Genomic DNA, 18,344 nt, shown 5'->3' with positions numbered 1-18,344 from the left:
CTCAACTAGAAATTTTGTAATTTTCAGTTTTGTATTTAGGTCTATGATCCTTATAGAGTTAATTTTTGTGTAGAGTGCAAGATATTGATTGTGGTTTCTTGTATTACATATAGAAATCTGATTGTTCCAGCATCATTTGTAAAGACTATCCCATCTCCACTGAATTGCCTTTGCACCTTAGATAAAAATCAACTGGGCATATACGCATGATTATATATGTGGATTCTATTCATGTCCATTGATCTAGATGTCCACTCTTTCTGTAATGTCAGTCTTGAGTGGTGTAGCTTTACATCAAATCTGGGCATCAATGTGAGTCCTCCTAACTTTGTTTTTTCTTTTTCAATTTGTATTATGGGTTCTAGTTACTTTGTCTTTCTATATAAATTGATTGGAATTGTGTTGAATCTATAGACAAATTGAGAGAGTTGACAACATCGAATCTTCCATTCTATGACAAAGTATATATTTCCATTTAATTAGATTGTACATTATTTATTACATCAATATTTGAAACAAAATTTTAGCATACAGATTTTGCATAAATTTTTAAAGTTTTGTAACTACCTCAAGCTTATTGTACTATTGTAAATGATACCATTTTTCAAATCAATTTTCATTTTTTGTGGCTAACATATTTAGATACCATTAGTTTTTCTATACTGGCATTGTACTCTCATGCCTTTCCAAACTTAGTATTAATTCTGTTTAAAGATTCTTTTGGATTCTCTTTGTAACCAATTCATGTCATCTACAAAAAAAAAAAAAAAAAAAAAAAGAAAAAGAAAATGGCTGGGCACAGTGTCTCATGCCTGTAATTCCAACACTTTGGGAGGCCAAGGCGGCAGATCCCTTGAGCTCAGGAGTTTGAGACCAGCCTGGGCAATATGGCGAAAATGTGTCCCTACAGAAAATACAAAAATTAGCTAGGCATGGTGGTGCAGGCACCTGTAGTCCCAGCTACTTGGAAGGCTGAGGTGGGAGGATTACTTGAGCCCAGGAAACCGAGGCTGCAGCAAGTAGAGATTGTGCTACTGCACTCCAGCCTGAGCGAGACCTTGTCTCAAAAAATAATAATAATAATAATAATAATGTTTTATTTATTTTCAGTTTTCTTGTCTTTTTTCTGTATTGTGTTTATTGAACTTGCTAAGATCTCTAGTATAATGTTTAATAGTAGTAGCATGATTTTTTTGATGATGTCTTATATTTGGTTGAGGAAGTTTATTTCTATATCTAATTTGCTGACTTTTGAAAGAATCATGAATGCATTTTGAATTTTATCAAAGACTGTTTCTTCATGTATCAATATAATTTCTTTTTTTTACACTTTTTAGTTTTTTCATGATGAATTGTACAGATTGATTTTATTTTTAAATATTGAACCAGCCTTGCATTCTCAGACTAATCTCTACTTGATCATGATGCATTCTATTTTGGTGGATTCAATTTGTTAGTATTCTGTAAGGACATTTGTGTTTATATATATCTGTCATATGTATATATATATCATATATATATCAGTCATATATATATCTCACACATATATGTAAGTGATTTTATGCTATGTATCTTTTTTTCTTCTGATATCTTTTTCTGGTTTCAATGTTAGTTTAATGCTAGCTTCATCAAATAAGTTGGGAAGTGGTCTTTTACTCATATTTTGAAAGAATTTGTGTAGAATTACTATAAATTGTTAAGGAGAATTTTTGTAGAATTTGCTAGTGAATATATTTATGTTTTGAATTTTCTTTTGTGGAAGGTTTTTACTACAAATTCCACTTACTTAGTAGAATTAAGATTATTCAAGTTATCTAATTTTTTACTGAGTAATTCTGGTCTCATTATGTCTTTCAAGGGAATTTTTTTCATTTTTTAATATCATTTTATAGCTTTATATTAAAAGTTCTGAATATGAGTGGCTCTCTGCCTGCTCCCTTTCACCACCTTAATATCTTAAGTGAATAATGCATTCTCATCAAGAGGGTTAAAACTAATCATCAGCTGATGGCAGTTCACTTTTTGAATTACAAAAAACTTTCCCCCTCAGGCCATTTATTTTACTCATAAGCAACCTAACTATATTATAGATTCTAAAATATTATCTCCAAAGCCCCTAGAAGATGCATACATTTAGTCCAAAAGGTTTAATAACTCCCCAAGCTGATATTTCCCTTTCTCCTTTGATATTTCCATAATTTGGAGTGCCCATTGTCTGTTTTATTTCATATTGGGACAAGCTGAACAGGGACTAAGGTGAAGGCAGAGAGGCATTCAGGGCAAATCGTTTAAGGAGGTACTACAAATACAAGGTCAACACTTGCAGGAAACTAAGAAAGAGTGTCTCCTTAAAATTTGTGTCCTAGGTGTCTTATCTAGTTCTGGCCTTTTTAATGTGAATTCTTTTTTTTTTTTTTTTTGAGATGAAGTCTGGCTCTGTCACCCAGGCTAGAGTGCACTGGTGCGATCTCGCCTGACTGCAACCTCCACCTCCTGGGTTCAAGGGATTCTCCTGCCTCAGCCTCCCAAGTAGCTGGGATTACAGGCATGCACCACCACACCTGGCTAATTTTTGTATTTTTAGTGGAGACAGGGTTTCACCATGTTGGCCAGGCTGGTCTTGAACTCCTGACCTGAGGTGATCCACCCACCTCGGCCTCCCAAAGTGCTGTGATTACAGGCATCAACCACTGCACCCAGCTTGAATTCTTTGTGTCCTCTAAAAACTCAAAATTATTTTTTAGTATTTTACCAGAAACATGGGAGGCATCAATTTAAAAGGAATGCACAGAAGACACTTCATCACTACTTCCAACCAAGCAGTAATGGGCTGGAGATCCTAGATTAAGCTACTGGCAGATCTGGTGTCTGGCGAGGGCTCTGCTCCTGGTTTGCAGATGGGTGTCCTCTCATTATGCCCTCGCATGGTTGAGAGAAAAATCATCGTTCTTCTGTTTCTTCTTAGAAGGGCACTAATTTTATTCATGAGCTCCATCCTCATGACCTAATCACAGCCTAAAGGCCTCACCTCCTAATACTATTATATTGGGGGTTTAGATTGCAACGTATGTATTTGGGGGGGTCGGCACAAACATTCAGCTCATAACATCTTGTGAATCACTTTTAATTGCAATGTTGGAACATTGCTTTAAAATGATGCAGGTCTTATTTCCATATATGCATTAGGCAGTTCTTGCATTGCTATAAAGAAATACAGGAAACTGGGTAATTTATAAATAAAAGAGGTTTAATTGGCTCACAGTTCTGTAGGCTTTACAGGAAGCATGGTGGTGCTCAGATCTGCTTGGCATCTAGGGAGGCCTCAGGAAGCTTCCATTCATGGCAGAAGGTGAAGACAGAGTAGGTATGTCGTGTAGTAAAAGCAGGAATACGCAAGAGACAGAGTGGGGGGCGGTGCCAAACACTTTTAAATGACCACATCTCATATGAATTCAGGGCAAGAGCTCACTTAATCACCAAGGGGTTGGCCCAAACCATTCATGAGGGATCTGCCCCCATTATCCAAATCCCTCTGCCAGTCTCCAACATTAGGAGTTACACTTCAACACGAGATTTGAGTGGGGACAAATATCCAAACTATATTAAGAAGAAACGCAGCAGTTCCCAATTTTGTCTCTCATCACCCTCCCACACACCAAATCATATATGTGAGGAGTACTTTTATATGCACAACTTGCCCTATTTAGAACTGTTCTGGAATGAGTGCATTTCCCATAGTACTATCTAAAATTCCATCCCCTGCAGTTCCCTTCAAGAAACCACATGACAGTATCAATAATGCATTGCATTTTAGGAATAAAGTTAAATATTTTCTAATTTATTTTAACCATTAATAAACTGTTCTTAACTCTTTTTATAACAATAATTTTTAGATCAGTTCACAAGTGATTACAACACACACGGCAGCAAGATGGATAATTGCTGTCCTAATGCATACATTACACTAAACATTATTACATACAATGATATTGCCAAGGATTTAAAATTTTGATCAGCAGTTTCAGGAAGCTAGGAGCTTTTAACTAAATGGATGAATCATGGAGAAGAGTCCCGCCATTTCTCGTTCAAGATTGGTGACTCAGTGTCAGTGGGACATGAGACTTCTATGATCTGACCTTAGAATGACCCCTTTTTATGGTGGAACAAGGTTTTAAGCAAGGCCATTCCCCTGGAGCCATAAAGGATTGACTAGGGAAGATTGCACTGAGCTTTGCTATGAACAGGGCTGCTGCATTTTTGTGATTTTTCCCCAGTCTGTGGTTTTTCCTGAGCCTGTATCCAGACAGTGGTCATTCCAAGTCCAGCTTTGCTGTCTGTTACAGCTTCTGTTTGACTATGTCTTTATACTCTTGCCTTATTAAGTTATAAAACTGTTTATTGCTTTATTGTCTCAGCTCAAAGGTGAATAACAAAACCCCAAGCATATGTCAGCCTTGGAAATTTAGTATTGACCTTCCTGGGCCCTCAGTGCCTGCTCATTTCCTATACCTAGCATTTACGTTTCCAATGCTTCATCTACACCTTCATTCACTACTACCTATATGTCATTTGCCTTATTATCTATGGTACGTATACTGAGTTCTAGTAAAATAGTATTTCAAGTGCAAGTTTACACATTCCTTATATTAACTTTAATTCAATACTTGCCATTTCTTTTTTGCTTCAGAACCAGGAGTTGAAAATATTTCCATTTGTCTTTTAAAGAGGTTATAAAATTGTCACAAGGACATGGGACATGCTGGCTATTTTTCCCTTTTTACTATTTTATAGCATCCAATTAGGTGGATAATAAAATTCTTATTTTTCCAATGAGTAGTCCAAGACTTCACGAATAAAAGTACCATGCTTAATGTCACACTACTAACAAGCGGCAGGACCAGTGTTTAAATGTAAATATATCTTATTTCAAAATTTGTTTGTTTTACCAAATTTTGTAGCTCCTTCCAAGACTCCCAACCTTCACCTTTTCTTTCTATCCCTAAGAATACATATGATTTTCACATACGAAGTTCGTTTATAACCTTTTGCTAATTAATTAGTGAAAAAAGATGCAATGAATTTTGCAAAATGTCATGCAAAAAATGAAGCAGGAACAGACAATTAGGAAATATTAAACCATGGTTAGTAGCATTGCATATCAGCATTGGTTTGATTGTAATTTCATTGTTCTGGACTCTCGCTTGTTTAGTTGGTGTCCCTGAGGCCTGCAGTCCTTCCAGGTGCTGAGAGTGGAGCTTCCCAGGCCTTCATCCTCTCCAGGACCTCAACCTTCCTCGTTCCATGTACAGACATAGAGCCCTTTCCACTTCCTTTTTGTAAGAAATAGTATTCTTTCCCACAGGTGAGACCTGGAGAAACATTTGAGTCCTCTTTGATCATATCCTTAGTCATTTCCCACTTCTGATAATGTGTTTGTAAGATTAATATGAGAACTTCAGTAAGACTGCACTTGCAGGGGTGCAGCTACATACACCAAGCTTCTATGTCACTGGTGAGGAATCCACAAAGCACTGACATGAGTGGAGTGATTTCCATTTCTCTTCAGCAGCGATCTCGTGTCAAAGACCATCTGGCAATTCAAATCCTGAGTTATTAAGGCTAAAGAATTATGGCCATATCTAGTTTCTATGCACAGACTTTCCCTGAGTAGAAGGCTCAATTAATTACCAGATCAAAATTGGGCTGGGATTTGCTTTGTAAACTGCTAAGCAGTTTAACTGGGTTGTAGAGAAAGACTCTATATGACATTAAATGACCTTCCTAAAAGCTTATTTCTCCCCCAACTGCTCATGTTGGAATCAATTTCAGGAGTCATTCACAATGAGTGGTTTATTAGCTTTCTCAATGCATTTACTACATGCCAGATGTCCAGCTCACACCAGCCTGCTGCTTGCCTTTCACTGACCCCTTCGATGGATGCTACGGACTTGGATCCACTGCCAAGGAAACACGTCACAGAGCAGTGTGTGGTTGGCATACTAAGCTCCACCAAGAAAGAAGACATCACCCAGGTGTGGGCAAAAGGGATGATATTACCAAGCAAGGTCATAATGATGACACAAAATAGATTTTTCCCCGTTGAATTTAGAAATACGTTGTGTCCTCAGACCTCTCAGTGTGTTTCAAGCGTTGAAAAATCCCTTTGATTGGAACCAAATTGATTAAAACTAAATGTAGAAAAGACCTTCTTGACAGTTCCAGGGCTATTCTATAGCTGGCTTGAATTTGATTTTTAAAAAACATCTCATTAATCCAAAGTGTTCTGCATAAGAGATCTGTACATCTGTTTTTTCACTTATATGATTGAATAATTATCATTTATTTTCAGTAGGTCATTCTGAACAAAATGCAAGTTAATCATTAAATGATTTCTACATTGGAACATGACATATTTTGATAAAAAGGCATGGCTTAAATAATACTTCTTATCAAGCAAGTTTCTTGATTCTTTAATTGTTTTACTAATAGAACTAACAATTGCCCAGATTTTCATGAAAAGAAAAACAGCAAATCATTGGTTTTCTATATTGCCTTTCTATGTGCATATGACAATGTAGCCATTGTTCAGATTCTCCTAAAAAGTTTAATTGACAATGACATCAAAATTATTCAAATATTCTTAAAAAATATGTGTGTGACAGTATAAGCAACAGTAGAACTGGTCAAAATAATTATGGATTATTAAATATTTACTATGAAATAAATGCAAATGCATTCAAAATACATAGAAAAATATTGGTTAAATATAATTTTGCAATAAAGATGACAAATGCTTTATTTGTGCTTTTTATTATGTTATTACTATAATAAGAAGCACAAATATAAAATATGTATTTATTTTGTAGAAATATATTATAAAGGGAAAAGGTAGACATCAATAAATACAGGTAAAATGAAACATCCACAGAATGCAAATAAATACAAATGCAACATTTCTAATATCAAACATCACATCTGAATGTTTTCCTGATGTCACAATGAGACATTTTCTTTATATCTGTTGGATCTAATAAAATGCAATAGTTAATAATCATATTTTTTGGATGGCATGGGGTAAACTGAATTATGTAGTTAACCATAATGAGCATTGTTAGACTATTTCTAAATTTCACAGGGAAACAAATTACTTTGTTGGTTGCCAAATTGCAACCAACACAAGTACTTAGTCAAAACTCCTTAATGGTGATGATAAAAAATTTGGAAATTATTCAGATTAATTTGAATAAGTTAAAAATGTTTTTCAACAACAGTAAGAAAACCACATGTATATAAAACAACATATCTAATAGATATGTAATATAATTATAATATAATATATGTAATATACGTGTACTGACTCATGCAATTGTGGAGGCTGAGAAGTTCCATAGTCCATCTGCAAGCTGGAAAACCATCAAAGCTGGTGGTGTAATTCGGTCCCAGTCCAAAGACTTGACCGGGAGCTCTGATGCCTGAGGGAGGGCACAAGATGGAAGTCCCAGCTCAAAACAGAGGGAAAATTCACCCTTCCTTTACATTTTTGTTCTATTCAGGTCCTCAGGGGATTGGATGAGGGCCTTCAACATTGGTGAGGATAGATATTGTTTGCACAGTCTACCAATTCATGTGCCAATTTCTTCCAGAAACACCCTCACAGATATACCCAGAAATAATGTTTTACCAGCTGTCTGGGCATCCCTTAGACTAGTCAAGTTGACACATAAAATTAAACATCACTCCAAGTAAAACTAGTTTTGCCTTCTCTTGAAATGTTTAAGGAGAGAAAGGTAACATTGAGCAGAACGATGTAGAGGAAAGGGCCATGCACATCACAAAAGCCTATCAATAACATTTGTGAGCCGCCACTTAATTGTCTGCAAAATGGATGGCATGGCGGGGTTGTGGTGAAGCATAGATTCAACATACAAACATGACCTCGCTTTGCACCATGCATCTAGATCCTTAATAATAATAGTGAGATAAAGATTACTTATATCAAACCATTCTTGGAGTTTTCCCTGACTCTGGTCAGTGAAGTCAATCCTAGCTTAACCTCCTAGTCCTGTTTCCCTTCCTTGCTCTCCATGGAATGGTGGACCTTGCAAGACATGGTCCTCATGGCCACATGAAACACAACCATGAGAAAAAGAGAGGTGAAGAAAGGCAGGAGGTAATGGGCCTAGGAGTGCAGAAGGTGAGGTAGGCCATGTGGGTTCAGGAAAGGCATGAATGTGACTATCGTATATGAAGAAAGATAGGAGAGAGAAGACCTAAGCATAATTGCTGTGGTCTGCTTACATTCTTTATGCTGTTTGTGAAAAGGAAGCGAAGGGTAAACTACTGTAAAATTGCTTTTTGTTCCTGGAACATAGTCTTTGGGATTCAACACTGCTCTGAGGCTGAGCTATGCAGATAGTGACTTCACTAGCAAAAAATGCATACAGTCATTATTTTCCAGAAGGACTTAACTGTACTTCTATCTTCTGCTTTGACATACATGGAGTAGACCTTTCCCATTCATTTTTCTTTTCTTTTTCTTTTTCTTTTTTTTTTTTTTTTTGAGACATTGTCTTACTCTGTCACAGGCTGAAGTGCAGTGGCACGATCTCTGCTCACTGCAACCTCTGCCTTCTGGTTTCAAGTGATTCTCCTGCCTCAGCCTCCCGAGTAGCTGGGATTACAGGAGCCCACCACCATGCCTGGCTAGTTTTTATTTTATTAGTAGAGATGTGGTTTCACCATGTTGGCCAGGCTGGTCTCAAACTCCTGACCTCGTGATCCACCCACCTCGGCCTCCCAAAGTGCTGGGATTACAGGTGTAAGCCACTGCGCCCGGCCTCCCATTCATTTTTCATACCCAGATCCTTCTTATCTCAGAAAGTCCAACTACCATGCCTTCCACGATGCTCTCCGTCCTGGATTTATCTATCTGATGGAAATATTTTGCACAAACTTCCTTTGTGTTTGATCTGTACCTATCTATAATCAGATTCTTCAGAGAAGAGCCTGAGATGGAAGTTAGGGTGCGTGTGGTTCATCAAAGGAAGGACTGTGAACAGGAGAAAGGGAAGAGACATTAGTACTGGGCAGGGGAGGAGCCAAGGACACGTGTGTTTTCAGCAGGACTCTGCCTCTGGCCTCCTCACATAGTGTGTTCTGGAAGATGAACTGTGTCTTGAGTTGGTCCATCCTCAAGGCAAGGAGGTCAGGCTCCCTTGTTGGTCCATGGGCTGTGGGCTTTATGCAACCTCCTGGGAAATAAAGTCAGTCTTCCATGTGGCTGAAAGCGGTTCTCTGGGGAGACAGCACCTACCCAGGAGCAGCCAATACACACGAACCTAACCCGGAGGGTCCTGACACCTTATTAATAGCATCCATTACTGACTTTTCCTGATGACCCTTCTCACGTTTCACCTTGTGTTATATGAATTCACATTTCTGTCATATTTATACTAAATTGTGAGTTCCTTGAGGTCAAATTAAGTGAAATATTTATCATTGAAATTTTCGCAATACCTAGCCTTGCTCCTGGATAACATAGCACTGGAAATAACTTTGAAATTGCTTACCAGGACTTAATTTTTAACTGGATGGGGCTCTAGAATATAATTTCAATTCATTCTGTCCTACTATGGAACAGATCATTACTATTCACGGGGAAACTTCCTGAAAGTCCAGAAATGGGCAAAATTCCTAACACTGATATAACCAGATTTACCAAGGTGTATGAGTATCAAAAAACAAGGGTAGGTTAAGAAGGGCGTGGGCTAACTAGGCTTAGTGACTTTTTCCTACATATTAGACTTACGGTGTAAAGTTAATATCCAGGCCTTAACAAAATGACACATTTCTACACATTGTGAACCTTCCGGATTCCTATACAGTCTGATTTGGAAATATTAAATCTGTGAATGCCATGTGTTTGGTAGGCATAATTGTTAAGTTAATAAATGATGCATAAAACGGAATAATATATTGTAAATACATGTGTTAAAAACCTTTGAAAGAGCATTGAGTATAAAAATGAAAAGGAAACCTGAGAATAACTGTATTATTCACACTTCCCACTCATCGCTGGTTTTTCCAGTCTCATTGCTTCATATGCCCTCTGTATTCTGAGGCCCCCCAGGTTTATGTCTCCTTCTTCTATAGCTAATCTATGCTATTAAGTATGCAGACATAACTTCCCCCAAATGAAGCTCTTGATCTTCCCCACAAACCCTGACATCTTGTGTTTTTTACCATCTAAGTCTCGGCAAATCTAATCCTAGTACCTCAAGTCACAAAAGCTGGGGATTATCCCTGACTCCTGTCTTTTTCTCACACTGAATATTCAATTCTTATACAAGCTGTAGGTGTCACCTTCAAAACATGGACAGATTCCAACCACTGTTTCCATTACACTGTCACCTCCACAGTCCAAGCCATCATCATCTCTCTTGGATGACTGCAATAATCTTCCTGCTTTTACCCAGTTTGTCTTTAACCTACTTCACAATGTTTTTAATACAGTCCCCAGAATGTTCTTGTTAAAATATAAGTCATAGCATTTCACACATCTGCAAAAAAAAAGTTACCTTTTGCATGAAAATATACTTTCTCTACTTATTTGGTTATTTACTCATAAATTCATCTTATATACCTGTATTGATTATTTTCAATACCAAGTACTAAAAACTCAAGGAAGACTAAAACAAAATTATTCTTTTGCAGAGTCATGCTGTATTATCCAGAATACTTATGTGTCTCCATACCAGAGATTGACCACCCAAACTTCTTCATTTATAAAAAGCTTCTCCAAGTACTTGATTGCTTGAAATTGGACTATAGTAGCTTCAAGAAACACTTATAAACATTAGCCAATTACAGAGTATTTTGTTATGTTTGAGGTTTTATAAATACCTGACCATCCAGGGACTTAAAATCCTGTTGGTGGCAGAGACCATCAATATTAAAACACTTATTTTCACAGACATTTATGAGTTACTAATTTTGTGCTAGGAATTGTACTAGGTAAAAGGGGATATAATGATAATGTCATGCCTTGACTTTGTTGTTAAGAAAGTTTTAGCCTAGTTGGGAAGAAGGCAGGTTTATATAATACATTTAGAGCAGTGGTTTTCAACTCTGACTATACATTGAAGAATCCAGTTAGGAGTTTAGGAAACTTCAACATCTGGGTCTCACCATCAAGATCTTACTTGGTCTGAGATGTGACCCTTGAATTAATTTTCTTGAAAGCTTTCTAGGGGATTCTATAACGATGCAGGATGGAGAGAGGGAAAAGTATCCAGTAACGAATGAATCATTGCTTTGCCTATTCTCATTGTTGTGCACAATATGTCTTCCTGACTTTGTCAAGGAACAAATAACTCATAAAATAACATGATCCTGATGGACCAGAATGTGGTAAGGTCCACATTCTAATGAAAAGAACATTATGAAGCGTCTTACATACAGAATACATAATAATTGTCACATTTTTGGCCATTAATAAATACTTTCCAAATATATGAAAAGATTCAGGAAACAACTATTAATTCTTGAATCTGTAATTTATAATCTGATCTTTTTAAGAAGTGAAGAAAGTACTTTAGAGTCCTCTGGGTCATTACTACAAGCCTCATATCTCATTTAACAAGTGGAAAAGAAGTGAAAAAATGACCTGAATTATTACAAACTGACCACACACACATGCACACAATCACACACATGCATGCACACACACACACCCTATATGCTCTTTTAAAGATAGAAAGAGAAAAGAAGTTCTATTTTTCAGAGATTTTTTTCATGACTCTCTCTCATTTTGACTTTTTAACTGTTTTATGAAATAGGCATTCTTATTTTAATTTTGCAGATCAAGAAATTCAAGAAAGCTTAAATAATTCATGTAGCTTCTCATAGCTAATAAGAGTCAGAACTAAAATTTTAAATTAAATTATTAATAGATTTTTTACTTTTTCACAGATTTTTCTTATTAAAAATTGTTTACAGGAAAATTACAGTGATTTGCATCATTTTGATGATGAGTACACAGTACTTACAGAAATTTAAGTAGTGTTGTTTTGTTTTGTTCATTATTAATTTTTTTTTGAGTTGGAGTCTTGCTATATTGCCCAGGCTAGTCTTGAACTCCTGGCCTCAAGTGATCTCCCACCTCTTCCTCCCAAAGTGCTGGGAATACAGGTAAAAGCCACCACACCTGGCTCATTTTGTTCTTTAATCAGGACATCACAAAATACATTGGCTCACTAATTTGCCAAATGGAGCCTTGCTGGAACCAAAAAGCCCTCCTGTCTTCCAAAACGATAAACTCATTCCCAAGGGGAATCTCAGCCATAGGCAACTGGAAAGCAGAAATTCTTCTGATTGTATTCTAGACAGAGTCGACCTGGAATTAAAAGTCTCAAGCTTCTTTGAATTAGGCACTTCATGCAGAGTTTTGCAAAGCACTCTTAAGATTTTTGAAGCGATGTACTGGTTTCTGGTGGAACCCTCCTTTGTGTTGTTGTTTCTTTTAATTATTCATGAGAAAGTCATGTTGTTGATAATTGATTCGTTTTTACAAACAGATTATTGGGAGGTAGTATCCTAAATATTGTAAAAGATGAAAACAGCAGGGTGTTCAGATCACTTTTGAAATAGCAGCATCTAATCTTAATTTCTTTCTATGAAGGTTACAAAAAGAATATGAACACAATTCATTTAGTAAATTAGTGGCAATAAATATAAAGGTTTATACCCCCAGTGAGAAATTAGTTGTTTCAGGCATCTAAAGGAACTTAAATTGTTAAACACTCATGGCATCTAAAAGGGCCAAACTTGTGCTTACAAGGAGATGAGAAGTAATGTTGTCATCAAAGTCTAGGTTTGAAAAGGAAGCATTGAGAACATTTTGGAGAAACATCCAAATGAAGATAAAAGAGGGTAGTCTGATTCTCTATTTGAGTATAGGAGAATTATTTGATCCTCTGGCAACCCAAAGAGAAAGGATCATTTTAAAGAACTTTCAAGATGCTGCACTTTTCTTTATTTGAAGTATTTCAGTCCAAACCATTTATTAAAAGCAAAACTCTATGTGATTGGCCAACATGCAAATATGTCTTATCAGTAGAGACATGCATACAATTGTAAGTTCATTCATTCAGGTAACAATTATTTATGGAATTCTCACTTGATCCCTGGTTCCTACTGGGCACTGGTAATAGAAATGCTAGATAATAGAGACTTTGTTTCTTTCATCAAGAAACATACTAGCTAGTGACCAAATCTTTTAAAATGATAGTTTCAAAGGAAAAAAATCATATGAAGTTTGCAATCATCACGTGAATATAACAAGTAAATGTGGTCTGTTCATTATCCCTATATGAAGACAAATTCCACACAATATATTTTTCCGGAATAAAATTATTTTTTCTTTCTACCCTGTTAGATTATCAACTCTTTCAGAATAGTGATTTTATATTCCAGATTTAACTGTCATTTGTGTACTGTAAATGTTCAGAAATGGTAGTTAAATGAAATAGAAAGAGTGAGAAAAAAGTCCTTTTGGTTTATTTGGTTTTTGTTTGGTTTTGTTTTTGAGACACAGTCTCATTCTGTGGCTCAGACGGGAGTGCAGTGGTGTGTTCATAGCTCACTGCTTACAAAAAGGTTGGGATTACAGGCATGAGCCCCTGCGCCCAACCGAAACTTCTTGCCTTCAAGAAGAGTTGCTGTTCAACGGGCATAAAGTTTCAATTATAAAAGCTGAATACGTTTTAGAGATCTGCTGAACAATATTGTTCCTATAGCTAATAATACTTTATTCTGCACTTAAAAATGGATTCAGAGAGTAGAACTCATGTGAAATGTATGCTATGGTCTGAATCATAGTGTCCCCCTGAAATTCATCACGGTGAAACCAAACTCCCCACATAAAGTGGAAGTTTTGGGAGGTGATGAGATCGTGAGGGTGGAGCCCTTGTGAATGGGACTAGTGTCCTTGTAAAAGAGGATCCAGAGACAGCTGTCTTGCCCCTTCCACCATGTGAGAACTCAGTAAGAAAGCACTGTCTATGAACCCGAAAATGGCCCCTCACCAGACACAGAATCTGCGAATCTGCCGGCACTTTGATCTTGGACTTCCAGCTTCCAGAACTGTAAGAAATAAATTTCAGTTGTTTAAAAGCATCTAGTTGATGGCACATTGTTATATAAGCCGGTACAGGCATAAACAGTGTTCTTAAGACAACAATAAAAATGTAATAGATCGGGGAGAACAAATGCACGAATAATGCATTATAAACAGTGAGATTGGAGTTAAGGAAGCGTACGTGATGTAGGATCAGGGACAGGCAAACTCTGTGTGTGTGTGTGAGAGAGAGAGAAAGAAACAGAGATAGATAGACAGACAGACATACACATACACACAGAGAGAGAGAATTTCATAGGGGAGATAACTTTTGAGCAGATTTATTAACAATGAGAATAAATTTCAGGCAAAGAGAAGAATATACATTGTCCCAAAGGTCAAAATGCTGACACATTTTCCTGAGTCCAGGAAGCTTCTTTGTTTTTTGTTTGTTTGTTTTTGCTTTTTTTTTTTTTTTTTTTTTTTTTGAGACGAAGTCTCACTCCATTGCCCAAGCTGGAGTGCAGTGGTGTGATCTTGGATCACTGCAACCTCCAATTCCAGGGTTCAAGCGATTCTCCTTCCTCAGCTTCCCGAGTAGCTGGGACTACAGGCACGCCTAGATAATTTTTGTATTTTTAGTAGAGACGGGGTTTCACCATGTTGGCCAGGCTGGTCTTGAACTCCTGACATCGTAATCCGCCCACCACGGCCTCGCAAAGTGCTGGGATTACAGGCGTGAGCCACCGCACTCGGTCCCCCAGGCAGCTTCTTATGGATGGACATGAAAACATTATCATCTAAATCATCATCACCCTGAGGGTTCTAAGATATATTGGTTTTTGATTTGTGTTTTATATGTTTTTCTATAACTCAGTAGAAATAAAGCCTACCTGGATTAGTTTGCTGATTTCTCCAGCAGTGTTATTTTCTCTTAAAATTAGGGCTTAGATATGGAAACGTTGCTAATGTAAAAGTTGCTGATATATTATCGTAGTATTTCATGGGATGGGCTTTGGGATGCCATTGAACTCAGTCTTCAGTGGTCAGGACTCTCCATTCTTGAAAGCTAAATGGAAGGTGATCATACATCTCCGGACATTTTCTGGCACTGTTGATTTGGTGGTGTGCTGATGATGTAACTAGTAATACATAATAATTATGACTCCAGAAGCAGAAGACTGTTCCTACAGTCTGGCAAAGACACAGGAACAGGGTTGGATTAGGATGACGTATCATAATTTTATACCTTCATGCAGAAAATAACATTTAAAAAGTGCTTCTCCAATAGCTGTGGCTGAGAATTCTCTGTTTCCTGGAGGCAGTCTGGTAACAACATTTTGCTGAATTTCAAAAGAGCACCTATAAGTAAAGCCATTATATTGACCATGCTAAAAATTTCCAAGCAAGGCGATCACCATACAGTGGCTGTGTTCTGTAAAGCAGGAAGTGCCGCCATCTCTAAAACCCTTCGGTGGATTTCAGGAGGATTAGCTCTTTAGCGGTGTCTTAGACAAGAGCTGGTTGAGGTTGGTTTGTGGTCTGGTGAGCTTTCTGCTTTTGTTCTGTCATTCCCTGGCTCCTTCTCACCCTTGACTGCTGCAGATGAGAAGACTGGGAGGAGGATTATTCTCTGGAGGGTGACGCTGAGCCCCTCTGCCAGCCGCCTGTGGCTTAGGCAGCTGTGCCTCCCAGGGACTTGGTTGGCCATGGCCCACTGGAGCCTGGAGTCTTCAGTTAGGGAGGTGTCAGAGAGGAACCATGCATTCTTGCTGTCATGGGAGGTGCAGGGAAGAACCACTGCAGGGACCTAGAAAGAGGGACCATCACCTCCCCCTTTCCAGCTCCCTACACACACACACACACACACACACACACACACACACACACACGTCTCACACACAAACTTACATAAGCCCACACCCAAATGGGAATCTTTCTGAACCATAATCAGAGACATGATATTTTTAGACTTTGTTTCAAAGGTGTTCCTCCAGGCATCTGCTTCTGCTGGGGCTCTTCTGCTTTTGCTCTCCACAACATTTCCCTCCCCTCAGGCCCCGATCTCCTCCTGCAGACACAGTCAGGCCTCATGCTCTGTGCTTGGTGATGGGGAGAGATGCAGAAGAGCCTTAGGGTCACCTGCTGTTTCAATCCCACCTCCCTCCTTTACTTGCTTGGTGACCTTCAGCAAAGCACTCAGTATCTCTGCATCCCAGTTTCTTCAGCTGTGTTTTGGGGATGACACCACCTACCAACCTCAAGGGTGGTCATGAAGGCTGCATGAGTTAATTTCTATGAAGCATCTTGGAAGTGTCCCTGGCATACAGGGCAATTTCATTCTTTGCTTTGATGAGCAATTTCTGAGCCCATCTTAGTCATGGGAATAAAGATTAGTATCTCTCCCTCCCTCCTAGGGTCTTAGAATAAAGTCCTCACCCTGTCCCAGCAGTGGAGATGCGTGCTCTGCCTCAGCACAGCTGGCTGGGTTCTTTTGTCCCCATCCCTGTGATCCAGTGCCCCAAAGGAGAACTTCCAGACCTCTGTGACGTGGAACACTTGCCTTTGCCATTCTAACCATGCCCAGACTCCAGCCAGTTATGAATGGAGGCTTCACCTTGGCACTACCCCAAAATGTTGATGGCTTGTCCGGGCTTATTCCAGGAGAAGGAGACATTCTGTTCTGAATTTCAGCCCCATGGAGGCTTTTCTGTCTTTTCTTGTTTTCGTCAGACTTTCCTCCAAAAGCAGGAATCATATCTTGACTATATTCATTGATCAAGAATTTCCTGCGCATAGAAAAATCAGAAACACACACACATAAACACACATACACACACACACGATGATCAAAAAATTATTGCTCAATAAAACAATATGCAAATGACATTAAAATGAGGTTTCAAACAATGCCTAGCTGAATAGAGAAAATGCTAATGATATAATTTAAATGAAACAGATAAGATGTAAAATTGTATATTTAACATGGTTTTATGCACTCATGATTAGATGAATAGAAAAACATGGATACTTATTTGGTGGTGAAATCATAGGTCATTTCTATAGTCTTCATAATTTTGTGCTTTTTTCCAACATTTTAAAAGTGAACTTACAGTACTTTAATAATGTGAGACAAAAAAAGCAATGAATAGTGCTATTTTTAGGAAATCTGAATAAAAGCCATTTATATAATCCCTCTGGGGACTTAGCATTATCTATATTCCCCATTCATCAGACTGAAAACCTTCTAACTCTGATATCACTGGAGGAATCCTTTGAAGAACTGCAATGCAAATTCGGAGAATTTGTTGTGGTGCCTGTCTATAAGATGAGGGTGCCTGAAACTCTTATTCCCACCCCCACCCAGGGCTAACTCTTTCTTCATTGACGGGGCTCCCTCCAGCTGCTTATTTTTCATGCTTCCAGTTTATCCCTGAATTCCAAACCTCTTCATCCTTAGAATGGAGGGCAATGGAGGGCGTCTACCTTGAGCCCAGAGTGGAAGTTTGTGTCAGCCCTGTGTGGCCAGGGATGTTTGTCTGGTGGCCAGAGGTAACACGACACATCACTGGGTACTCAGATGAAATGCGCTGACGTCATCAGACTGTGTGACTGACAAAGCCATATGGTTACACCAAAAGGACAGTAGTCTTACCTATTTCTCCTATATTCTGGAATGAGCTTTCCTTTCATTTCCACATCACATAGCCCAGAGATAAAATTATTTTAAAAAGGTCAGGTTGTGCTTTTCTGATATTGCTTATAGGCACTGCAATAAATGAAATCATCTTTAGGTATTAAACTATCAGAAATGAATATTTTGAAAAAAATACACAGAGTGCAAAAATGCACGGGAGGGACACAGTTTGCCCTTTGCCTTCTGGGATTCTAGACTGATCGGTGTTAGAGGGAACAGGAACTCTCGGATTTATTTCCCTCCTCCTGATGAGTTCCTTAGCCCATATGGAATGCTTTCAGTCTGACTCCTGTGCCAGGCAGTTTGCACTTAGGACGGATTGTCTTGGCATCTTTATTGGTTATACACTCCCTCATATTGTGAATGACATGACGTAAAACTTACTGAAGACAGAAACAAAGCATGAAGTGCTCATCACAGTTTCTGTGCTAACCTGGTTGACAGGGGGAAGGTACTGGCAGTGTTGACAAGGAAGGAACTGGGTAGGAAAGAGAGGGCCAGGCTGAGCCAGAGTTTACTGTAGCATAGCCA

At 38.2% G+C, this 18,344-nt stretch overlaps 1 long non-coding RNA gene across 1 annotated transcript; it reads left to right on the top strand.

Annotated features, from left to right (window-relative positions):
• The first annotated feature begins 1,455 nt into the window (after positions 1–1,455).
• On the top strand, positions 1,456–10,868 carry LINC01247 (long intergenic non-protein coding RNA 1247). The gene is made up of 3 exons (NR_110251.1): positions 1,456–5,362; positions 5,886–6,032; positions 10,714–10,868. It is a non-coding gene; the product is annotated as a long intergenic non-protein coding RNA 1247 (long non-coding RNA).
• Positions 10,869–18,344: the final 7,476 nt, after the last annotated feature.

The sequence above is a fragment of the Homo sapiens genome, chromosome 2, assembly GCF_000001405.40.
Source record: "Homo sapiens chromosome 2, GRCh38.p14 Primary Assembly".
Lineage (NCBI taxonomy): Eukaryota > Metazoa > Chordata > Mammalia > Primates > Hominidae > Homo > Homo sapiens.
Note: the sequence above shows the minus strand (reverse complement) of the source record. Positions and strands in the feature narration are given on the sequence as shown.